Source organism: Homo sapiens, chromosome 16, assembly GCF_000001405.40.
Source record: "Homo sapiens chromosome 16, GRCh38.p14 Primary Assembly".
Classification (NCBI taxonomy): domain Eukaryota; kingdom Metazoa; phylum Chordata; class Mammalia; order Primates; family Hominidae; genus Homo; species Homo sapiens.
In genome coordinates this window covers 89,764,052-89,788,600 of record NC_000016.10, presented here as the reverse complement: position 1 = coordinate 89,788,600, position 24,549 = coordinate 89,764,052, and the positions used below count along the sequence as shown (strand labels likewise).

The window sequence follows — 24,549 nt, the reverse complement described above, 5'->3', positions numbered from 1 at the left end:
GGTCTCAGATTCCTGGCCTCATGCGATCCCCGCACCTTAACCCCCGAAGTACTGGAATTACAGGCATGAGCCACCATGTCCAGATAGTTAGATGAGTTTTGATAAATGTATATATGCATATTCAGTGTTTGAACATCTGTTTTTGTTATGTTTTGTTTTGTTTTTGAGATGGAGTCCCCGTCTGTCACCAGGCTGGAGTGCAACTCCCACCTCCTGGGTTCAAGCGATTCTCCTGTTTCAGCCTCCTGAGTAGCTGGGACTACAGGTGCCTGCCACCACACCTGGCTAATTTTTGTAATTTTGGTAGAGATGGGGTCTCACCATGTTGGCCAGGATGGTCTCGATCTCTTGAGTTTGTCATCCGCCCCACTTAGCCTCCCAAAGTGCTGGGATTACAGGCATGAGCCAACGCACTTGGCCTGAACATCTGTTTTAATTTTTACTTTTGAGGGCAAATACCAGCACTGTGGGAGGACGAGGTGGGCCGATTGCTTGAGCCCAGTAGTTCAAGACCACCCTGGGCAACGTGGCAAAACCCTATCTCTACCAAAAATACAAAATTTAGCTGGTATGGTGGCAGGTGCCTGTAATCCCAGCTACTCAGAAGGCCGAGGCAGGAGAATTCCTTGAACCCGGAACGCGCAGGTTGCAGTGAGCCAAGATCAGACCACTGCACTCCAGCCTGGGCAATGGAGCAAGACCCCGTCTCAAAAAAAAAATTTTTTTTTTTTACTTTTAGGAAATGTTAATATAAGTAGACCAAATGATCGTGAATTTGAGCCCTTTGGGGTAATTAATATAATTCTCAGCATATCACATTATGTAGTTAAATGTAATTTGTGGGGTTTTTTTGTTTGTTTTTTTGAGGCAAGGTCTCTGTTCTGTCTCCCAGGCTGGGATGTGGTGGTGTGATCATGGCTCACTGCAGTCTCAACCTTCCAGGCTCAAATGATCCTCCCACCTCAACTTCCCGAGCAGCTGAGTCCGCAGGTGTATGTCACCACACCTGGCTAATTATTAAAAAATTTTTTGTGGACATAGTGTCTCACTATGTTGCCCTGGCTGGTCTTTTTGTTTTTTTAAGATGGAGTTCGCTCTTGTTGCCCAGGCTGGAGTGCAGTGGTGCGACCTTGGCTCACGGTAACCACCTCCCGGGTTCACGCCATTCTCCTGCCACAGCCTCCTGAGTAGCTGGGACTACAGGCGCCTGCCACCACACACGGCTAATTTTTTGTATTTTTAGTAGAGACAGGGTTTCACCGGGTTAGCCAGGATGGTCTCGATCTCCTGAACTCGTGATCTGCCCGCCTCAGCCTCCCAAAGTGTTGGGATCACAGGCGCTAGCCACCGCGCCCGGCCGTCCTGGCTGGTCTTGACCTCCTGGGCTGAAGTGATCTTCCTGCCTCAACCTCCCAAAGTGTTGGAATTACCGGATTGAGCCACTGCACCCAGCCATTAAGTGTAATTTTTTCAAAAATAGCAAACAGAACTGCCTTTTATCTCAGCAACTCTAACAATGGCTGCTGTGACCCCAGGTCTGGCTTGCGCGTGTCACTTAGATGCTTTACAGAAATGCCTTTGGCGACGGGTCTGGACTGTTCCTGCTGCGGCCAGTGATCATCTGGCTCACTGTTAATTGAGTGAACGTTGCCAAGAGACAGGAGCAGTTGTGTTGTGGATGGCTGAATGGAGGGTGATAAGACATGGTGTGCTTGGCGGGAGAATTTCAGGTTGAAACTGGGTGCTGATGTTTTGAGAAGGGAACCCTTGAGTGGTCTCAGGTTTTATTTAAATTTTTAACTGACAAGTATTGAGCTGCTTTCCTGGTATTTGGCACAGACAGTTCATGTCTCTGAGCTTTGTTTTTCCGTGACTCTGTCCCTCTCAGAGACATTTGACAAGCGTTATCAGCATTTTCCGCTTTTTATCTAATGGCTTTTTGGGTCTGTCTGCATGATGATAACATTCAAAAGAATCTACACATGGTCAGGTGTGATAGTTCATGCCTGTAATCCCAGCACTTTGGAAGGCCGAGGCAGGTGGATCACTTGAGGTCAGGAGTTTGAGACCAGCCTGGCCAACATGGCAAAACCTCATCTCTACTAAAAAGACAAAAATTAGCTAGGTCAGACGTGGTGGCTCATGTCTGTAATCCCAGCACTTTGGGAGGCCAAGGTATCACCTGAGGTCAGGAGTTCAAGAGTAGCCTGGCCAACACGATGAAACCCTGTCTCTACTAAAAACACAAAATTAGCCAGGCATGGTGGTGCACACCTGTAATCCCAGCTACTCAGGAGGCTGAGGCAGGAGAATCGTTTGAACCTGGGAGGCGGAGGTTACGGTAAGCCGAGATTACGCCACTGCGCTCCAGCCTGGGTGACAGAGTGAGGCTTTGTCTCAGAAAAAAGGAAAAAAAAAACCGGGCTTGGTGGCACGTGCTTGTAGTCCCAGCTACTTGGGAGGCAGAGGTGGGAGAATCACTTGAACCCGGGAGGCAGAGGTTGCAGTGAGCCCTGATTGCACCGTTGCACTCCAGCCTGGATGACAGAGTGAGACTCTCTCTCTCAAAAAAAAAAAAAAAAAAATAGCTGGGAGTGGTAGCAAATGCCTGTAATCTCAGCTACTAGGGAGGCAGGAGAATTGTTCAAACCTGGGTGGGCGGACGTTGCAGTGAGCCAAGATGGCACCACTGCACTCCAGCCTGGGTGACAGAGCAAGACTCTGTCTCCAAAAAAAAAAAAACAAAACACAATTTTGCACGCTTTCAGAAAGACCAAGGTGAGCCTTCAGTTCACGTTGGAGTTCAGGTTTCCTGATAGATGGTAACTTGCTGAGGTTTCACCAGGATGTCCTGTGGTCTCAAGTGGGGCTAGGGTGGCAGGAGCTCGTCTGGTTTTGCAGGTAAGCGGTTCAGTGTTCACAGAGGCCCACATTCTGTCTGCAGGTTCACTATGATGCGTTCAGGGCCATGCCCATTTAAAATCTCCTTCCTTCCCTGACTCACTGCAGCCCCCAGGACTTTGCTGCAGCCCCCTTCGTTCCTGGGAGGGTTTGCTCATGTTCCTCGCTTGCTCTGCTAGGGTCTTGCAGCTTCATTGTCTGAGGGGTGGCCCTCCTTGGCCTGTGTTCCTTACCCACCTCTCTTGCAGTGATCTGTCCACTGGTGGATGAGGTTAGAAGTTAAAGTGTGTTCAGAAGTGGCTTCATCCCACAAAATCAATTTGTTTGCTGTGCACAAACACTTCTTAGGGCATTTAGCAAATTGTACCCCTAAGGATCCCAAAAGGATCCCATAGTTAGTGTTTGTTATAGCTAATGATTTTTAACTGTTTTTCTTCGAATAACTTTTAGATATCTCTTCAGTCAAAGCGCAGTCGTGACATCTGTAAATGTATGAACCACATGACTTTTTGGTGTTTCTCTTTTTTCCTTTTTGTTTAGGAGGCCGACTACAGCAGCCGCCCGGACACTGCCTAGGTGGGCTTCACACTCTTCTCTCCACACAGGACACTGCCTAGGTGGTGCAGCTGCGCCTGGCTGTCCTGGGCTTCACGCTCTTCTCTCCACACAGGACACTGCCTAGGTGGTGCAGCCGCGCCTGGCTGTCCTGGGCTTCACGCTCTTCTCTCCACACAGGCCTCCTTTGGGAGCACACGAGGCTACCATGGCTGCAGCAAGAAGGCCCTGGTCTTCCTGTTTACGTTCTTGTCAGAACTCGTGCCTTTTGAGTCTCCCCGGTACCTGCAGGTGAGAAGCTGGCTGCCACATCCATGATTTCTGGTGCTTCGCTCACCTGCTGCATCTGAGGACTGCCTTGGCCTCCCCAAGAGCCTCCTGCAGATCTGCTCTGAGCCTCTCAGCCAGGCCCTTCCCCTTCCCCTTCCCCTTCCCCAAGCCGTTTATGGTGAAACAACACAAACATTGCAACTGGAGGTGTCCACGTGGACACACAGTGAGTGCGTGTGTGCCAGTCAAGGCAACTGCTAAGAAACCCTTTTCTCACCTAGGCCAAGGAGGTGGGTAGATATATTATGTCACTGTTCAGTCTCCCTCAAAACAGTGAGCAGGTCTGAGTGGTGACGTGGAGAGACGTTCTCAGCACCCAGTTACGCAGGAAGAGCGAGTTGTACTGCAGTGAGGGTTTTAGGATCTCATGTTTGCTTTTTTTTTTTTTTTTTTAATTTCATGTGGGTTTTTTTTTTGTTTTTTTGTTTTTTTGGGTTTTTTTTTTTGAGACAGTCTCACTCTGTTGCCTAGGCTAGAGTGCAGTGTTGCCATCATAGCTCACTGTAGCCTAGACCTCCCAGGTCAAGCAGTTCTCCCACCTCAGCGTCCTGAGTAGTTGGGACTACAGGCGCATGCCAGCAAACCTGGCTGTTTTTTCTTTTTTTCTTTTTTTTAGTACAGATGGGGTCTTGCTGTGTTGCCCAGGCTGGCCTTGAACTGAGCTCAAGTGATCCTTCCGCCTTGGCCTCCCAAAGTTCTGGGATTACAGGTGTGAGCCACTGTGCCCAGCCTGACCCTCATCTTTTAAGAAAATTGGCCGGGCGTGGTGGCTCACACCTGTAACCCAGCACTTTTGGAGGCTGAGGAGGGCAGATCACTTGAGGTCAGGAGTTCGAGACCAGCCTGACCAATGTGGAGAAACCCCCTGTCTACTGAAAATACAAAATTAGCCGGGCGTGGTAGCGCGCGCGTAGTCCTAGCTACTCAGGAGGCTGAGGCAGGAGAGTTGCTTGAACCCGGGAGGCGGAGGTTGCAGTGAGCCGAGACTGCACCATTGCACTCCAGCCTGGGCAATAAGAGCAAAACTCCCTCTCAAAAGAAAAAAACACGCTGTGTCCCCTCTGTCCCCTTTGACCAGGAAGTCAAAGGCATGGAGCTGCAGGCGGCCGGGGCCGGTTCCTGCTGCCGCTGCTAGGATTGCACATCCCTGGTTCCCCCAGTGAGCCGCCCTGGACTTGCAGGACCAGCTACATTAGGGTTTCTTGATTTTTCACCTGGGGAAGCAGCCTTCTATTGTGTTTTTTTTTTGTTGTTTTTTTTTTTGGAAATGAAGTCTCACTGTGTCACCCAGGCTGGAGTGCAGTGGCGCGATCTCGGCTCACTGCAAGGTCCGCCTCCTGGGTTCCCGCCATTCTCCTGCCTCAGTCTCCCGAGTAGCTGGGACTACTGGTGCCCACCACCGCGCCCGGCTAATTTTTTTGTATTTTTAGTAGAGACAGGGTTTCACCATGTTAGCCAGGATGGTCTCCATCTCCTGACCTCGTGATCTGCCCGCCTCAGCCTCCCAAAGTGCTGGGATTACAGGTGTAAGCCGCTGCGCCCGGCTTGTGTTTTAATTTTACTAATGGTTTGCTTTGCATACTCATAAGTCTGACTGTAAAGGGCTGTGTTTCTCTACTCAGCACTGTGGATGTTGGAAGTGAATTGTGGCCTCCCTGGAGTCCCAGGCAGTTCCCAGACTAACGGTGCTGCGCTCTGCTATCTATCCTCAGGTGCACATTCTCCACCCACCCCTGGTTCCCGGCAAGTACCGCTCCCTCCTCACAGACTACATCTCATTGGCCAAGACACGGCTGGCCGACCTCAAGGCAAGCTGTCCCTCCATGCCCACTCCTCACACCTGTCCCAGCAGAAACTGCTTTGTTTTCTTGTTCTCATTCTGTGTCTTCCCTGAAGGTTTCTATAGAAAACATGGGACTCTACGAGGATTTGTCATCAGCTGGGGACATTACTGAGGTAATGTTGCTTGAGCCCTGCAGGGTCTCAGCCAGTCACGCCCACCATGCAAAGGTCCAGTTTCTTTTGACTCTTGAGTTGAGTTTTTCAGCCTTCCCAGTCTCATGTCTGGTCTTGCCTCGGGCGCAGCTGGGGGCGAGGCTCTGCGGGCCTCTGTGTTGCTGTGTCCCACCTTGTGTGTCCCCAGCATTGGCAGGGAAAGGGTTACTGTGTGGCAGAGTGAAGTGCCTCAGGCTGCAGGACATTTGTCCTTTTGGGAGATCTTGGTTCCTGTGGGGTTGAATGGAGAGGTGGTTCGTCATGTTTTTCTCTGAATCACAGAAAAGTGTTAACTTTTTTTTTTTTTTTGGAGATGCAGTCTTGGTCTGTCACCAGGCTTGAGTGCAGTGGCGCAATCTCGGCTCACTGCAACCTCTGCCTCCTGGGTTCACGCCATTCTCCTGCCTCAGCCTCCAGAGTAGCTGGGACTACAGGAGCCGCCACCACGCCTGGCTAATTTTTTTGTATTTTTAATAGAGTCAGGGTTTCGCCATGTTAGCCAGAATGGTCTCAATCTCCTGACCTTGTGATCCGCCCGCCTTGGCCTCTCAAAGTGCTGGGATTACAGGCGCCCGCCACCACGCCTGGCTAATTTTTTAATTTTTTTTAGTAGAGACGAGGTTTCACCGTGTTAGCCAGGATGATCTCGATCTCTTGACCTCGTGATCTGCCCGCCTTGGCCTCCCAAAGTGCTGGGATTATAGGTGTGAGCCACTGCTCCTGGCCAAGTGTTAACTGTTTTTATAGCAGCCAAATGTCAGATGGTCATGTGATATGTGTGGGTCACTAATGAAAACATTCTTTTTTTTTTTTGAGATGGAGTCTCGCTCTGTCGCCCAGGCTGGAGTGCAGTGGCGCAGTCTCGGCTCACTGCAAGCTCTGCCTCCTGGGTTCACGCCATTCTCCTGCCTCAGCCTCCCGAGTAGCCTATAGTGGGCCTACAGATGCCTGCCACCACGCCTGGCTAATTTTTTGTATATTTTTAGTAGAGATGAGGTTTCACCACGTTAGCCAGTATGGTCTCGATCTCCTGACCTCGTGATCCGCCCGTCTCGGCCTCTCAAAGTGCTGGGATTACAGGCGTGAGCCACCATGGCCGGCCTAATGAAAACATTCTTTACTTTTTACTTTTTTTTTTTTTTTTGAGACGGAGTCTCGCTCTGTCGCCCTGGCTGGAGTGCAGTGGTGCGATCTCAGCTTACTGCAAGCTCCGCCTCCCGGGTTCACACCATTCTCCTGCCTCAGCCTCTCCAGTAGCTCAGACTACAGGCACCTGCCACCACACCCAGCTAATTTTTTTGTATTTTTTTAGTAGAGATGGGGTTTCACCATGTTATCCAGGATGGTCTCAATCTCCTGACCTCGTGATCTGCCCGCCTTGGCCTCCCAAAGTCCTGGGATTACAGGCATGAGCCACTGTGCCCAGCGTATTGTTTTTTTTTTTTTTTTTTTTTTTGGAATGGAGTCTCGTTCTATTGCCCAGGCTGGAGTGCAGTGGCGCAGTCTCAGCTCACTGCAAGCTCCGCCTTCCGGGTTCATGCCATTCTCCTGCCTCAGCCTCCCGAGTAGCTGGGACTACAGGCACCCGCCACCACGTCAGGCTAATTTTGTGTGTTTTTAGTAGAGATGGGGTTTCACCGTGTTAGCCAGGATGGTCTCGGTCTCCTGACCTCGTGATCCGTCTGCCTCGGTCTCTCAAAGTGCTGGGATTACAGGCGTGAGCCACTGCGCCTGGCCCTCCATTCTTTACTTTTTAAGACCTTTTTATTTTAAAGTTACGAGTTACTGAAGAACACTTATAGGTGACATTAAAGTGTTAGGTGAAAATATTTAATATAATTTTCCATTTATAATTTATTGCTGTTTATAAATTACTTTTTTTTTTTTTTTGAGGTGGGATGTTGTTCTGTTGACCAGGCTGAAGTATAGTACCGTGATCACAGTTCAGTGCAGCCTCAAACTCCTAGGTTGAAACGATCTTCTCACCTTGACCTCCTGAGTAACTGGGAGTACAAGTGTGCGCCACCATGCCTGGCTGGTTTCTAAAATTTTTTGCAGACATAGGGTCTCCCTGTGTGGCCGAGACTGGTCTTAAACTCCTGGGCTCAAGTGATCCTTCCGCCTTGGCCCCCCAAAATGCTGGGATTACAGATGTGAGCTGCCGCGCCTGGCCTCAGAATGTTTTTTTTTTTTTTTGATGCAGGGACTTCCCCTGTTGCCCAGGCTGCAGTAGGGTAGCATGATGATGGCTTACTGGAGCCATGATTTCCTGGGCACAGGCAATCCTTCCACCTCCACGTCCTGAGTAGCTGGGACCACTGGCTCATGCCTCTACACCTGGCTAATGTTTTTGTATTTTTTTAGAGATGAGATGTCATCATGTTGCCCAGGCCGGGCTTGAACTCCTTGGGCTTAAGCAGTCTGCCCCGCTTAGCCTCTCAAAGCACTGCGTTTATAGACATGAGTCATGGCACCCAGCCCTCGTAATTTCTTTTAATCTCAAAAATTAAGTCTCTACTCCTTCCCACCTAGAAATCTTTACTTTCAACTCTTTCCTGGAGGCAGGAAAGAGGCTCACGGCAGGCTCTCAGCAGAGCTGAGCTCTCGAGGAGGGCCGCACATCACGGGGTCTGAACCTTGTGTGTGTGGAGGTGGCAGTGTCATCCTCCCCTGTCGTGCTGGTATTTTGGGACATTTTGGAGTGCTCCAGGGCCCCTGCTGTGCGCACAGCATGTGGGCCTTTACCTTTAATGTGTACAGAGCCTTTCAACAAGGAAGCACAGGTTGAGTGTGGCCTTCACTGCTCAGTCTTTTCTTTAAAGTCCTCTGTTCTTTTTCCTTTCCTCCCTGTATGGGAACCAGCCCCACAGCCAAGCTCTTCAGGATGTTGAAAAGGCCATCATGGTGTTTGAGCATACGGGGAACATCCCAGTCACCGTCATGGAGGCCAGGTAGGCTGGGCTGCCGAAAAGGCCTCTAGCAGCTGCAGTGTGTGCAGACCGCGCTCTGATGCCTGCAGTATGTGCAGACTCTGCTCTGATGCCTGCAGGGTGTGCAGACTCCGCTCTGATGCCTGCCAGCGTCTGGGGCTCTTTGGAGTGTGTCCCATTTCTGCCCAGAGCCACATGGGGCAGGTTGGCCACTGTCTATTCAGAGAGAGACAGGAGTCAGGGCTGTGAATCGAGGATCCTGCCGTTAAGGGATACGGGGTGAGGTCAAGAGCTGTGCATTTGCTGTGAAACATTTTTTCCTCTGTAAAAGCAGGTGATGCCCCTCCCGTGCTGAAGCAGCCAACAGGAACTGCTGATTGGGGAGCTTGCACTGGGAGGGAAGGCAGTGGGGCCATGATGTTTTTTTTTTTATCAATGCCTTCTTTGTGACCAATATGGAGTCAGTAACAGAGAGCTGAATAGCACAGCTTTATTGAATTTGGTATGATCTCAAAACATCTTGAATTCTGGTGGTTACACATGTGGATGAGCTGATTGCAGCTCCCAGGGTTTTGAAATTTAGCTCCAAGGAAATTGCCCCAAATGGACCTTACATGGTCCTCGTGGCCTCAGATTGATCCAGGCTCCACGTTCAAGCCCAGGGAGCAGGCCGAATGTGGTCCTGATTCCCACGGACTCAGGGCTGGGCTAGCACGGCCTGCCCTACACATGCCTTGTCCCGGAACTGTGCACAAGAAGACTTCATAATGCATCGTGGCTTTGGAGTGAGCCCTCGCAGTCCACTCTCTGAAACACCGGTCACCGTCTGTGGGAATTGCCTTCTCGCTGCTCTGACTGATGCACTGTCTGCTTCTCTGTGTTGCAGCATATTCAGGAGGCCTTACTACGTGTCCCACTTCCTCCCCGCCCTGCTCACACCTCGAGTGGTCAGTATGCGTCTCCATGAGTTTGTGACCAGTTGTGTAGAAAGCAAGGACTTTCCTTGTCAGTCTCTCACAGGTCTCTTCTCTTCCCACAGCTCCCCAAAGTCCCTGACTCCCGTGTGGCGTTTATAGAGTCTCTGAAGAGGTATGCAGCAACGGTTAGAAGGGGATGACTACTTCCAGGTTTCTTCTGACAATGCGAAGAATTGTGGATCTTCTGTAGAGAAATTTGTTAGACCACTATTGTGTTTTATTGGTAAAATATTGGCTCCAAAATTGGTTGGTTACTTTTTTTTTTTTTTTTTTTTTTTTTTTTTTAGTTGGAGTCTCACTCTGTCACCCAGGCTTGGAGTGCAGAGGCGAGATCTTGGCTCACTGCAACCTCCACATCTTAGGTTCAAGCGATTCTCTTGCTTCAGCCTCCTGAGTAGCTGGGATTACAAGCCTGTGCCTGGCTAAGTTTTTTTTTTTTTTTTTTTTTAGATGGAGTCTCGCTCTGTTGCCCAGGCTGGAGTGCAATTGCACAATCTTGGCTCACTGCAAGCTCTGCCTCCTGGGTTGGAGCAATTGTCCTGCCTCAGCCTCCTGAGTAGCTGGGATTATAGGTATGCACCACCACGCCCTGCTAATTTTTGTATTTTTAGTACAGACAGGGTTTTGCCATATTGGCCAGGCGGTTCTCAAACTCCTGAGCTCAGAAGATGATCTACCCACCTCATCCTCACAGAGTGCTGGGATTACAGATGTGAGCCACCGCTCCTGGCCTTTTTTTTTTTTTTTTTTTGAGATGAAGTCTCACTCTGTTGCCCAGGCTGGAGTGCAGTGGTGCGATCTTGGCTCACTGCACCCTCCACCTCCTGGGTTCAAGGAATTCTCCTGCCTCAGCCTCCTGAGTAGCTGGGATTACAGGCGCGCACCACCACGCCCGGCTAATTTTTGTATTTTTAGTAGAGACGGGGTTTCACCATGTTAGTCAGGCTGGTCTTGAACTCCTGGGCTCAAGCGATCTGCCCACCTCGGCCTCCCAAAGTGCTGGGATTATAGGCGTGAGCTACCGCACCCGGCTGCATCATTCTTCAGTGAAAGAAAATGTTTCAGTACATAATGATTGTGCAGAGAGGAGAACTGAAGGAAAATGAAAGAGCTCTGGGAAAGCCTCATGCTGCAGAACTTGAGAGTAGACCTGGAAGTTATTGTTTAGAATAATAAGGTATCCTTGGATCACTTACATTGCAGGTTTCTAGTAAGAAAGTTGGTTGGTATCAACCAACTTTGGAAGAAATAGGAAAGTATAAGTCCTATATTCCAGCAAAATTTATAAAGTTCTGGGACCTGTAAGAAGATAAACACAAAGAGCCTTTTTTTTTTCTTTTTTTGTATTTTTAGTAGAGACAGGGTTTCACTATGTTGGCCAGACTGGTCTCAAACTCCTGATCTTGTGATCCACCCACCTCGGCCTCCCAAAGTGCTGGGATTACAAGCGTGAGCCACCATGCTCTGCAAAAATAATTTTTTAAATCTTAAAATAAGTTTATTCTCTGGGATCCTTACTTTCATTTGTTTTGAGACAGGGTCCCACTCTGTCACCCAGGCTGGAATGCAGCGGTGCAGTCATGGCTTACTACAGCCTTGACCTCCTGGGCTTCAACAGTCCTTCCCTCTCCGCCTCCCAAGTAGCTGGGTCTAGAGGCGTGCTCCACCACACCCAGCCAGCCTTGATCTCCTGGGCTTCAACAATCCTTCCCCCTCCGCCTCCCAAGTAGCAGGGTCTAGAGGCGCGATCCACCACACCTGGCCAGCCTTGACCTCCTGGGTTTCAACAATCCTTCCCCCTCTGCCTCCCAAGTAGCTGGGTCTAGAGGCGCGCTCCACCACACCCAGCCATTTTGTAAATGCTTTGAGGACACGGATTTTCGCTGTGTTGCCCAGGCTTCTCTCTCTCTTGGCCTCAAATAATCCTCCTGCTTCAACTTCCCAAAGTGCTGGGATTACAAATATGAGCCACTGTACCTGGCTTACCCTTTATCATGTTAAGAAAGTTCCCTCTTACTAATTTGCTAAGGATTTTTAGCATGAACTAATGCGTTTTATTTTTTTTTCTTTAATTTATTTTTTGAGTCGGAGTCTCGGTTTGTCAGCCAGTCTGCAGTGCAGTGGCGCAATCTCGGCTCACTGCAAGCTCCACCTTCTGGGTTCATGCCATTCTCCCACCTCAGCCTACCAAGTAGCTGAGACTGCAGGCGCCCGCCACCACGCCCGGCTAATTTTGTTTTTGTATTTTTAGTAGACACAGGGTTTCACTGTGTTAGCCAGGATGGTCTCAATCTCCTGACCTCCTGATCTGCCTGCCTCGGCCTCCCAAAGTGCTGGGATTACAGGCGGGATCCACCGCGCCTGGCCCAATTTTGCATATTTTTAATGACACGAACTAAACGTTTTTCTTAGTATTAATCATTAAAATTAACAAAGATTCATGTTTTGCTGGGCGTGGTGGCTCACGCCTGTAATCCCAGCACTTTGGGAGGCTGAGGCAGGTGAATCACAAGGTCACGAGTTCGAGGCCAGCCTGGTGAACATGGTGAAACTCCGTCTCTACTAAAAATACAAAAAATTAGCTGGGCCTGGTGGCAGGCGCCTGTAATCCCACCTACTCGGGAGGGTGAGGCAGGAGAATTGCTTGAACCTGGGAGGCGGAGGTTGCAGTGAGCCGAGATCGCACCACTGCACTCCAGTGTGGGTGATAGTGGGAGACTCTGTCTCAAAAAAAAAAAAAAAAAAAAAAAAAAGAAAAACAAAGATTCGTGTTTTGAATTTGGAAATTACCAAAAATTGTATGAGAGAAATAGAAATAATTTATAATTTCACTGCCCAGGGATAATCACTGGTGGTATTTTGTGGTCTAGCTCCTTAGATATTAATATATGATTAATATGATATATTTTGAAACAGTGCTTTTTAAATCTATATATATTTTTTAATATTTTTTTGTAAAAACAGGCTCATACTGTACACAGTATTTATAATTTATTTAAATTTAATATGTTTTTATTTTATAATAGATTTGGGGATTGTAATCTTGAATTAATTTAAGCCATAGCTGACTTAATTGTATTGTTTTCCTGTGATCCAGAGCAGATAAAATCCCCCCATCTCTGTACTCCACCTACTGCCAGGCCTGCTCTGCTGCTGAAGAGAAGCCAGAAGGTAAGTTCCTGGGCCGCTTGTCCACTCTGGGACTTGTGCTTTTCCATTTTCCTAACCTTGAGTGTCTGTTGTGCTACACCACCCGAGTGAGCTCGGGGGTGGCTGTGCCAGCTCAAGCCGGTGCTTTGGGTACAGGGTCCGCCCACCATGCTGACGCCCAGTGCCAGCTGTGGCACAGACTCTTACCTGGGGGTCCTGAAGAATCACTTAGCACCTTCCGGAAAGGAGTGTGTGCAGTGCACAGCCCCACTTTGTCACTCGTCATCTTCCTGTGGGCCGCACTGAGGTGTTTGTACAGGCTTCAGACTCGGGTGCTCTCTCAGCGGCCACCTTGGGGCCCACAGCGCTGGCTCGAGCCTGTCGTAGGGAGTGTCATGCAGCACTTTTCTGTTGCACAGTGCAGGTAGGAGTAGAAGTCAGGCTCTTTTGGCCTGTGGGGAGCAGTGGTGCAGCTGTCGGTCAGACCTACGCCCTCATTGGGAATCCGTGAAAGGCTGCACTCAGGCAGCAGTGGGAGATGCCATCATGAGGCTGGTTTTTCTTGAAGTGTGTGGCTTTATCTCCAGTAGAAGCCAGCATCTCCCTGTGGGAGCCGCTATGAGCTGAAGACATAGATCTGAGGCTGCTGCTTCCCTGTGGGCTTTTTTTTTTTGAGACAGAGTCTCGCTCTGTGGCTGTGGACTGCAGTGGCGCGATTTTGGCTCGCTGAAACCTCTGCCCCCTGGGTTCAAGCAGTTCTCCTGCCTCAGCCTCTGTAATAGCTGGGATTATAGGCACGCACTACTACGCCTTGCTAGTTTTTGTATTTTTAGTAGAGATGGGGTTTCGCCATGTTGGACAAGCTGGTCTCGAACTCCTGACCTCAACTGATCCGCCTGCCTCGGCCTTTCAAAGTGCTGGGATTACAGGCATGAGCAACCGTACCCAGCCCCTTGTGTGCTCTTCTAGATCCCCTTCCACCTGCAGGGCCAGGGAGGCTCGTTGAGATTTTTTTTTTTTTTTTTTTTTTTTTGAGACAGAGTCTCGCTCTGTTGCCCAGGCTGGAGTGCAGTGGCGCAATCTCAGCTCGCTGTAAGCTCCGCCTCCCAGGTTCATGCCATTCTCCTGCCTCAGCCTCCCGAGTGGCTGGGACTACAGGCGCCCGCCACCACACCCGGCTAATTTTTTGTGTTTTTAGTAGAGACAGGGTTTCACCGTGTTAGCCAGAATGGTCTCAATCTCCTGACCTCGTGATCCACCCGCCTCGGCCTCCCACAGTGCTGGGATTACAGGTGGGAGCCCCCATGCCCGGCCGACCCACCCTGAGAGCATGACCTCTCAGTTGTGCTGGGGATGCCACAGGGGCCTCAGGGCTGTGTACCCTGCGGTGTGAGGCGTTTGCTTCTCTTGAGAGGTGTCCTCCTTCCCCCAGGATCCTCCTTCCCCTGGGGTCCACTTGTTCGTAGCTTTTGGTGGCTTCCAGAATGGTTTCTAATCATTTGTCTGATGAGGCTTATGCACAGACTCCTAGAGCCTATGATTTCTAGAGCCTGTGATTTCTGGTTTCATTTTGGCTGTGGCTGTGCATAGCAGTGCATTTTCATGCTTGTGTCTTCTCCAGCAACCCCAGAACTTGAAGGTTTTTTACTTTAAAAACATATGCAGCGTATCTTCCTTTTTATATTGAAAGTGGTGGCTGGGCGCAGTGGCTCATGCCCGTAATCCCAGCACTTTGAGAGGCCAAGGCGGGCAAATCATGAGGTCAGGAGATCGAGACCATCTTGGCCAACGTGGTGAAATCCCGTCTCTACTAAAAATACAAAAAATTAGCTGGATGTGGTGGTGCGTGCCTGTAGTCCCAGCTACTCGGGAGGCTGAGGCAGGATGATTTGAACCCGGGAGGCGGAGGTTACAGTGAGCCGAGATCGCACCACTGCACTCCAGCGTGGTGACAGAGCAAGAGTCCATCTCAAAAAAAAAAAAAAAAAAGTTTGAGGAACCAGGGGACTAAATGGTCACCTATCCGTGATCCTGTCCCCACCCTCGCCAGCCCTCGATCCTCCTTGTTTTCTTCCGTGTGTATGCTTCTCACGGTGGTGGAGTGGTATTGATGGTGCACACAGAACCGCTTTTTTTCTTAAACTTGTTTATAAATGTAATTTTTTATGAAACTCGTTTATAATTGTAATTTTCGATGTGGCATCCAGCATCAGGGAAGACACCTCATTTACCTCCTCAGAGACTCCCAGTCCCTCCGTCTGCCACACACAGCAGCTTGGAAGTTCACAGCTCTGTATTTGACTGTGTGAAGTTTCTATTTTTGCAGTGAAGAGTCCTGTTGAGTGTCTTTCCATCTGGTTTCTTCCTTCTTCTCACAGATGCAGCCCTGGGAGTGAGGGCAGAACCCAACTCTGCTGAGGAGCCCCTGGGACAGCTCACAGCTGCACTGGGAGAGCTGAGAGCCTCCATGACAGACCCCAGCCAGCGTGATGGTGAGGATGGATGGGAGCTCATGCTGTGTCTCATGTGTGCAGCCTGTGGTTGGAGCTCTGTGGCTGGGCCATTTTCCCCATAGTGACATCAGGCTGGTGTGTCTTCCTAGTAGTCCAGTAGTTTAAAGATTGACCCCGGGCTGGCGGGTGTGGAACCTTTTTTGAGACAAGGTGGAAGGCTAGTCCTACTGAAGCTGTCACAGACCCTTGGCAGAAGGTGAATATTCGGCTAGTTGCATCTGAGTAGGACGAATGATGATAGAGAAGAAAACGCGTGACTAGGATGCCTGTTTTCCCGCTCATCCTGCCTGCCGGAGTCGATGTCACATCAGACACACAGGGTCTCTGCCCTGTGATCCTGCTTCCATGTGATGGTTTTCTGTAAAATCCAGAGTAAGAAATGTTCATCTGTGGATTGAGAACATGCAGTTTCTTTTTTCTTTTTTTTTTTTGAGACAGAGTCTCACTCTGTCCCCCAGGCTGGAGTGCAGTGGCGCCATCTCGGCTCACTGCAACCTCCGCCTCCTGGGTTCAAGCAATTCTCCCGCCTCAGCCTCCCAAGTTGCTAGGATTACAGGTGACTGCCTCCATGTCTGGCTAATTTTTTGTATTTTTTAGTAGAGATGGGGTTTCACCATGTTGGCCAGGCTGGTTTTGAAATCCTGACCTCAGGTGATCCACCTGTGTTGGCCTCCCAAAGTGCTGGGATTTCAGTGTGAGCCACCGTGCCTGGCCTACATGGAGGTGATATATATATATTTTTTTGAGACGGAGTCTTGCTCTGTCACCCAGGCTGGAGTGCAGTGGCGTGATCTCAGCTCACTGCAAGCTCCGCATGGAGGCAATGTTAACACAGCTTGGTTAGCGCTAGCTGGGGCTGCAGCGCCTTGGCGGTCTTCACTCAGACCAAGTGCGCCAGTTCCTGAGTGCAGCCTTCCGGTGATTCAATGATGGCTTGTGCAGAATGTGGTACATGGGGGACATGGAGGAAAAGTTCCAGTGCTTAAGCAAGAGGTTGATACATGTCAGGTGAGTCCTGTTTCTAAAAGCAAAGCGGTTTTCACCTTTAAATGATGTAGTTGGGCTATGTGTGGCCCATTTCCCTGGGCCAACATGGAACCTCTGGCATGCGCTTAGGCAGATGTGGTGTCTGGAGGGCTGGCATGGGATTTCAGATGGGGAGGTTCATGTTGGTGAATGAACATGTCCCCCTCTCAGCCAATCAGGAAAAGGTAGTGGATGGCGTCTGGCCCCATTTGCCATGACACATGCTGCACCACAAGGCTGCAAATCCTGCGGGGCGAACAAACACTGGTGTTCAGCACCTGGCTGGGGGATGTGTGCAGTCAGCAGGATCCGTGGAATCGTACTTGACGGGAGGCGGAGCTCTCTAGGCCGCAGCTGTATCCCTCCTTTCGGGGTTCTTGTCATCCCTAACTAGTTTCTTCCTTCGCAGTTATATCGGCACAGGTGGCAGTGATTTCTGAAAGACTGAGGGCTGTCCTGGGCCACAATGAGGATGACAGCAGCGTTGAGATATCAAAGATTCAGCTCAGCATCAACACGCCGAGACTGGAGCCACGGGAACACATGGTAGGTGTAGGGGCTCAGAACAAAGCAGGGGGTCTTCACCATTTTCCATTAGGCAGAGGCATTAGACGCATGGAGCCTTCTCTCAATTTCTGTTTGACTTGCTCAGTTAGTGTCGTATCAGATGTTCCAGGGCCAGGCAGCGGTGTACCAGGGTCAGCTGCCACAGTCTGTTTGTGTATGAAGAGCTCCTTTTACATTTTATTTATTTATTTAATTTTGGAGACAGGGTCTTGCTTTGTTGCCCAGGCTGGAGTGCAGTGGTGCAATCATGGCTCACTACAGCTTTGACATCCTGGGCTCAAGTGATCCTCTTGTCTCAGCCTCCCGAGTAGCTGGGACTACAGGCGTGCATCACCACACCCGGCTAATTTCTGCATTTTTTGTACAGTTGGGGTTTCTCTGTGTTGCCTCGACTGGTCTAGAAGTCCTGAGGTCAAGTGATCTGTCTGCCTCAGCCTCCCAAAGTGTTGGGATTATAGGCATAAGCCACGGCACTTGGCCTCTTTTTTTTTTTTTTTTTTTGACTGAGTCTTCTCTGTTGCCCAGGCTGGAGTGGACGATCTTGGCTCACTGCAGCCTCCACCTCCTGGGTTCAAGCAGTTCTCTTGCCTCAGCTTCCTGGGTAGCTGGGATTACAGGTGCACACCACTACGCCCAGCTAATTTTTGTATTTTTAGTAAAGACAGGGTTTCATCATGTTGACCAGGTTGGGCTCGACTGCCTCTTTAGAATATGCGACAGAGGCTGTTTCTGGCCCCAAAACCTAAAATATTTTTCTGGCCCCTTACACACAAGGTTTGCCAGTCCCGCCTGCTGCTGTAGAATTTTGTGATTGGCGATTACTTGAGGGCTGCTATTCCCAAGATTGGGGAATGGGGGCCCTGGGCACCAGTTTGCATTGTAACATGCCCTCCAAACAAGCCTGTTTTGGAGGTCTTTTTGCAAAGCAGAATTGCGATGTCTGTGGCGGGAGCGCTGGCCGGCTTCCTTCCTGCTGCTCCCGTCCCCAGGACACCACGCTCATGAGAACTGTGTCTCTGCAGGCTGTGGACCTCCTGCTGACGTCTTTCTGTCAGAACCTGATGGCTGCCTCCAGTGTCGCTCCCCCGGAGAGGTGAAGGCGCGGGCAGCTCCCTGAGTGGTGGGGCTCCTCTGGGTGCCACCTCTTGCTGGGCCAAGTCTGCAGACCAGGGACTCATGAGCTCGTCTCCGCAGGAGCATGCGGCGATGCTGAGTTTCATCAAATAGGACGCAGCAGAAGTTGGGAAGCACTGCAGAAGATGGGTTGTCTTCCAGAAAGACCACTGTTTTGGGGAACAGCTTGGCTCTTTCTTCGGCCGCTGGTGGTTGGATTAGCTGTTGGAGGGATGTGCAGGACTGAATGGCTAGTACTGATGGTTTCACGGCTGTCTCTGCAGGCAGGGTCCCTGGGCTGCCCTCTTCGTGAGGACCATGTGTGGACGTGTGCTCCCTGCAGTGCTCACCCGGCTCTGCCAGCTGCTCCGTCACCAGGTGAGGCTCTCCTTCATGGGGGCCACCCTTGGGGGCCCACTCTGAGGGCCAGGCTGCTACTTCTCAATTCGTCTTCAGTGCCCTGGAAAATTCCAGCTTGGAAGAGGGCAGTCTGCTCTGCCACCCTCATTCTCGTTGCAGGGCCCGAGCCTGAGTGCCCCACATGTGCTGGGGTTGGCTGCCCTGGCCGTGCACCTGGGTGAGTCCAGGTCTGCGCTCCCAGAGGTGGATGTGGGTCCTCCTGCACCTGGTGCTGGCCTTCCTGTCCCTGCGCTCTTTGACAGCCTCCTGACCTGTAGGACGAGGGATTCCTTGTTCTTCTGCCTGAAGTGAGCTCTTCTTCCACAGTCGCGTCTTCTCTCCTCTCTCTCGAAAAGTGACACATGCTCGTTTGATAAAATTAGAAGAGACAGACATGCAGACATACCACCCAAAGATAACCACTTTTTAGCATTTTGGTATATATCCTTCCAGAATTTTATCTGTCATTTGTTTATAATATGCGTGCGTTTGTTTCTTTGTTCATAAAAATGAGATCATATTATACTAAACTGCTGAAATTAATAGTAGATAGTAACTGTCTATATCGTTAAGCATTCTTTGATGTCCTGGTGAGAGCTGCTTTGTTTTGTCTTGGTCCCTTGTCTGGCCCTTGGTTGGACCAGCTCCCTCTGGTCAGGTTCTTCGGCACCCCATGGTGAGTAGCTTCCCAGTGTGTACACCTCGGGCTGTTTCTCTAGGGCTCAGCAGATGGGGCCATGTGCTGAGGTGAGGAAGGACCCTGTGGTTAAGAATGGTCTGCTCAGTGCCTCAAGGGCTCCCTGCAGCTGCCACGCACAGGCAGAAGCCAGGACAGAATCCCTTCAGCTGCCACTCAGAGGCGGAAGCCAGGACAGAGGGCTGGGAGACTCTGGTGGGAGTTGCTGGCTGGGGCTTGGCTTGTAGCTTCTGGTCTCTTGGGCAGAGGTAGCCCAGGTCGGGACAGAGCCCTGTTGCGGTGCCGGAGACCCTGTGCGGGAAAGGGGAGATCTGACATTATGACAGGGTCTGAATAACAGAGAACTTAGAAGAGGCGCAAGAAATGTACGTGGAGCAAGGAGAGGGAGTCAGATGGCAGCTGTGCGGATCCCACACCTCAGACATGGGCCTCGGGGAGCAGGCACTCGGTACTCCGGGGATACAGAGTCCCTCCTAGGCGCTTGGCCACACCAGACAGTCCCCACTCACCCCAGGCCCCAAACACTGAGTACTGGGTGTTGGCATGAGAGGCACACAGCCAATGGAGAAGTTGGGAGCTGGTGAGGAGGGAGGCATCCAGGTGGCTTGGGGGAGACAGGGCCATCCTCTCTTAGAAACACAGAGATGCCTCAGGATATATATCCAGGTGAAGAAAGCAAAATACTGAACTCGGTCTCAGATGCTACTTTTTGCATAAGAAAGGGAGAATGAAATATATATTTGGTGTGTGTTTTGTTTTTTTTTTTGTTTTTTGGTTTTTGGTTTTTGTTTTGAGACAGAGTCTCACTCTATCGTCCAGGCTGGAGTGCAGTAGCGTGATCTTGGCTCACTGTAACCTCCGCCTCCCGGGTTCAAGCAGTTCTTGTGCCTCAGCTTCCTGAGTAGCTGAGACTACAGGTGTGCACCACCATGCCCAGCTAATTTATGTATTTTTAGTAGAGATGGGGTTTTGCCATGTTGGCCAGGCTGGTCTTGAACTCCTGACCTCAAGTGATCTGCCCACTTCAGTTAGGATTACAGGTGTGAGCCTCCACGCCCAGCTCAAATATGTATTAGTAAAACAGAAGTATTAGAACTGTAAGAACACCATGACAGTGCTTTGACATCTCCATTGCCTCATGGAATCTCATTCTGAGCTTCCTTGGTTACAAGTGAGAATTTTTCACATGGGTATTGCTGTAGGTATGTATGTTGAGTAAATGACACAGGTCTCACTGTGTCCCCCAGGCTGAAGTGATCTTCCCACCTCAGCCTCCCAGTAGCTGAGACCACAGGTGCACACCCACACACCCAGCTAGTGAGAGATGGGGTCTCACTGTGTTGCCCAAGCTGGTCTTGAACTTCTGGGTTTAAGTGATCCCCTGAGCTGTGATTGTGCGACTGCACTCCAGCCTGGGCATCAGAGTAAGGCCCTGTATAAAACAAAAAATAAACCGAGGGCTGGGCCAGGCACGGTGGCTAACGCTGTAATCCCAGCACTTTGAGTGGCTGAGGTGGGCAGATCACTTGAGGTCAGCAGTTCGAGACCAGCCTGTCCAACATGGGGAAACCCCGTCTCTACTAAAAAAAATTAAAAACTCGACTGGTTGCAGTGACTCATGCCTGTAAGCCCAGCATTTTGGGAGGCTGAGGTGGGCGGAGCACGAAGTCAGGAGATCGAGACCATCCTCGCTAACACGGTGAAACCCCATCTCTACTAAAAATACAAAAAATTAGCTGGGCATGGAGGCTGGCACCTGTAGTCCCAGCTACTCGGGAGACTGAGGCAGGAGAATTGCTTGAACCTGGGAGGTGGAGGGTGCAGTGAGCCGAAATCGCACCACTCTACTCCGGCTTGGCAACAGAGCAAGACTCCCTCTCAAAAAAAAAGCACTAACAACAACTACAACAGAATCAGCTGGGCATGGTGGGAGATGCCTGTAATCCCAGCTACCTGGGAGGCTGAGGCAGGAGACTCGCTTGAACCCGGGAGGCAGAGATTGCAGTGAGCCCAGGTGGTGCCACTGCACTCCAGCCTGGGCGGCAGAGCAAGACTGTCTCACAACAAACGAACCAAAAAACGAAGGACCAATGCTCAGGCCATCCAGTTCGGAATGCACTAAATTCAGTTTTATGAAATTCAAAGTAACTTTTTCCTTCATCCCTTATTTTGTATGGATTACATTTATATGTTATAATTTCTGTTTTCAGATTTTGTACAGCAGCAATTTCTTACTCTCTCTGCAAGTTTTCTTCCCAGTCACGAGATACTTTGTGCAGCTGCTTATCTCCAGGCCTTATTAAAAAGGTAGGTTCACTCTTTTCCTATTTTTCCATTCTGCCATACGTTTCAGGTTTACGCAGCTTTCGGACCGGAAGGCCGAGGTCTGCTGCCGCTTTGTGCCCATCTCAGGGGCAGCTCCTGGGTCAGGCTGGCTGTCATGGGGCAGCTCCTGAGTCAGGCTGGCTGTCATGGCCACCTCTGCTGTCTGCTTAGGCAGCCTGACTGCTGAGTGCTGCCTTTCCTTGTGTTCTCTGAGTGTAAAGTGAAGTTGTATGAAGACAACTACAAGTCTGTAATTGTAATGAAATAGATGTTGGCATTTATAGGATAGATGAATTAAAAGATCAGTATTCATAATAAGTATCTTTCCCTGGAAAGAAGAATTCTTATTCCTCTCATCTAGTAAATGTTCCTTACATTGTTCAGACAAAGGAATTTTTTTTTTTTTTTGAGATGGAGTCTTGCTCTGTCGCCCAGGCTGGAGTGCAGTGGTGCGATCTCGGCCCACTGCAACCTCCACCTCCCGGGTTCAGGCAGTTCTCCTGCCTTAGCTTCCCAAGTTGCTGGGATTACAGGCACGTGCCACCATACCCGGCTAATTGTTTTGTATGTTTTTTAGTAGAGATAGGGTTTCACCATGTTGGCCAGGCTGTTTTCGAACTCCTGACCTCAAGTGATCCACCCGCCTTGGCCTCCCAAAGTGCTGGGATTACAGGCGTGAGCCGCTGGTGCCCGGCCCAGACAAAGGAATTTAAAGATGAGCATTGGAAACCCTGAATGTCAAAAGTAAAGGTGAAATGGCACTGCAAACCAGTGTTGTCCTTTTATAGGATTTTAATGAACGTCTCGTGTATAAAATAGTGGTTTTCAGGCTGGGCGTGGTGGCTCATGCCTGTAATCCCAACACTTTGGGAGGCCGAGGCGGGCAGATCATGAGGTCAAGAGATCGAGACCAGCCTGGCCAACATGGTGAAACCTGGTCTCTACTAAAAATACAAAAATTAGCCAGGCGTGGTGGCGCACGCCTGTAATCCCAGCTACTTGGGAGGCTGAGGCAGGAGAATCGCTTGAACCAGGGAGGCAAAGGTTGCAGTGAGCCGAGACTGCACCACTGCACTCCAGCCTGGGCAACAGAGCGAGACTCCACCTCAAAAAAAAAAAAAAATAAATAAATAATGGTTTTCAACTTCAGGCTTCACATTAGAATCAACTGAGAAGCTTTTGAAACTATAGATTCCTGGCCCCTTTCCAGATAAATTAAGTCAGAATCTGGGAGCAGCCCCTGAGGATCCAGGGTGCACGTATTTCCAGTTATTTCCTCTGAGGAACTTTGTCCCTGGTGCCAAGTTTTTAAAGAAAACATGGAGTTTGAGCTTAGGAGAGGGCAGCGTGGTTCCCACCCAGCATGCTGAGCAGGGACGACAGTCCTTGGAGCAGGCTGGTTATAAACATGGGAGGCTCTCATCTCCTCGGGGGCAGAGATGGACACGGTCACGCAGCACCAATAGTGTGTCTGGCTTGTCCAGTTGGTGTGCATTTTTGGTGGGAACGCCATTCCTGGCAGAGGCCTAGAGATGGGCTGTTTCACTGCCCGGGACCAAACCAGCCCTACCCCTGGGAGGCAGTTTTGTTCCTGCAATTCTGCTTCCAGACATTTAGCTCAAGGAAGCAGTCAGATGGCAGGAAGGTCTGCACATAGGCTCTTCCCTGGAGCACTGTGCACAGCCATGATCGCTGAGGGGCTCTGCACCCTTCCAGGGGCTGGACTGAGGTCCCCTGAACGTGGGGTTGTGTGTTGTGCCCTCCCAGGGGCTGGACTGAGGTCCCCTGAACGTGGGGTTGTGTGTTGTGCCCTCCCAAGGGCTGGACTGAGGTCCCCTAAACGTGGGGTTGTGTGTTGTGCCCTCCCAGGGGCTGGACTGAGGTCCCCTGAACGTGGGGTCGTGTATTGCGCCCTCCCAGGGGCTGGACTGAGGTCCTCTGAATGTGGGGTTGTGTGTGTGGGCTGTTGATGGTCTGTTTCCACCTGAGCATTTGCTCAGCCACTCACAGTGAAACTTGCGCAATGAAGAAACGGCCGGGTCACTCTCTGTTTCAGTTTCAGTTCCTCATGTTCAGATTGTTCTCAGAGGCCCGACAGCCTCTTTCTGAGGAGGACGTAGCCAGCCTTTCCTGGAGACCCTTGCACCTTCCTTCTGCAGACTGGCAGAGAGCTGCCCTCTCTCTCTGGACACACAGAACCTTCCGAGAGGTGTTGAAAGAGGAAGATGTTCACGTAGGTGACCGTTCCTTCTCCTGCATCATGCCACGTCCTGAGTCTAGGGTTTGTGTGTGCTCCTCGGGCAAGAACAGCAGCACGTAGGTGACCGTTCCTTCCCCTGCATCATGCCACGTCCCGAGTCTAGGGTGTGTGTGTGCCGACTGTCTCCTCGTCTCGAGTCTAGGGTGCGTGTGCCGACTGTCTCCTCAGAGGCAAGAACAGCAGCACTTAGATGGTTTGATTGGAATCTTGACTAAAATCGTTGTGGCCTCATGTGCAGCTCTTAAGAAATTATACAGATACTGGGCACGGTGCTCACACCTGTGATCCCAGCACTGTGGGAGGCCAAGGCGGGTTGATCACCTGAACTCAGGAGTTCAAGACCAGCCCGGGCAACATAGTGAAACCCCATCTCTACAAAGAATGCAAAAATTAGCTGGGCACAGTTGTGTGCACCTTTGGTTCCAGCTACTTGGGAGGCTGAGGCAAGAGAAATCACTTGAGCCCAGGAGGTGGAGGTTGCAGTGAGCCAAGATCACGCCACTCTATTCCAGCCAGGATGACACAGCAAGACCCTGTCTCAAAAAAATATATTAATAAATACAGAGAAACCCTGCTATACTTTCTCAGTTTCTCCCAACACGAACTTCTTTTTTTATTTTTACTGATATATTTTTTGAGACAACGTCTCGCTGTGCTCAGTGGTGCAGTCTTGGCTCACTGCAGCCTCTGCCTCCTGGGTTCAAGCAATTCTCATGCCTCAGCCTCTCCAGTAGCTGGGACTACAGGCGCCTGCCACCACGCCCGACTAATTTTGGTATCTTTAGTACAGACGGGGTTTCACCATGTTGTC

General features: G+C 50.4%; 1 protein-coding gene across 2 annotated transcripts in view, besides 3 other annotated features; it reads left to right on the top strand.

The window, feature by feature from the left end:
* The window catches only part of FANCA (FA complementation group A), a 79,099-nt gene that overhangs the window by 28,047 nt on the left and 26,503 nt on the right, over positions 1-24,549 (top strand). For both annotated transcript variants that reach the window (NM_000135.4, NM_001286167.3), the window contains exons 15-28: positions 3,637-3,747; positions 5,499-5,594; positions 5,683-5,742; positions 8,644-8,732; positions 9,598-9,658; positions 9,751-9,800; positions 12,786-12,859; positions 15,217-15,330; positions 16,787-16,923; positions 17,967-18,037; positions 18,342-18,435; positions 18,577-18,764; positions 21,364-21,460; positions 23,535-23,711. In NM_000135.4, coding sequence (NP_000126.2) covers positions 3,637-3,747; positions 5,499-5,594; positions 5,683-5,742; positions 8,644-8,732; positions 9,598-9,658; positions 9,751-9,800; positions 12,786-12,859; positions 15,217-15,330; positions 16,787-16,923; positions 17,967-18,037; positions 18,342-18,435; positions 18,577-18,764; positions 21,364-21,460; positions 23,535-23,711 — 1,419 coding nt within the window. The remainder of the gene's footprint in view (positions 1-3,636; positions 3,748-5,498; positions 5,595-5,682; positions 5,743-8,643; positions 8,733-9,597; positions 9,659-9,750; positions 9,801-12,785; positions 12,860-15,216; positions 15,331-16,786; positions 16,924-17,966; positions 18,038-18,341; positions 18,436-18,576; positions 18,765-21,363; positions 21,461-23,534; positions 23,712-24,549) is intronic.
* Positions 8,224-8,761: an enhancer, noted in NCBI's record as "NANOG-H3K4me1 hESC enhancer chr16:89846248-89846785 (GRCh37/hg19 assembly coordinates)". NCBI's record gives its function as "activates a minimal SCP1, AML or CMV promoter by ChIP-STARR-seq in naive H9 embryonic stem cells {active_cell/tissue: H9 hESC(naive)}" and the evidence as "EXISTENCE:reporter gene assay evidence [ECO:0000049][PMID:30033119]".
* Positions 23,292-23,361: an enhancer, noted in NCBI's record as "active region_11421". NCBI's record gives its function as "activates an Ori minimal core promoter by ATAC-STARR-seq in GM12878 lymphoblastoid cells {active_cell/tissue: GM12878}" and the evidence as "EXISTENCE:reporter gene assay evidence [ECO:0000049][PMID:35858748]".
* Positions 23,522-23,631: an enhancer, noted in NCBI's record as "active region_11420". NCBI's record gives its function as "activates an Ori minimal core promoter by ATAC-STARR-seq in GM12878 lymphoblastoid cells {active_cell/tissue: GM12878}" and the evidence as "EXISTENCE:reporter gene assay evidence [ECO:0000049][PMID:35858748]".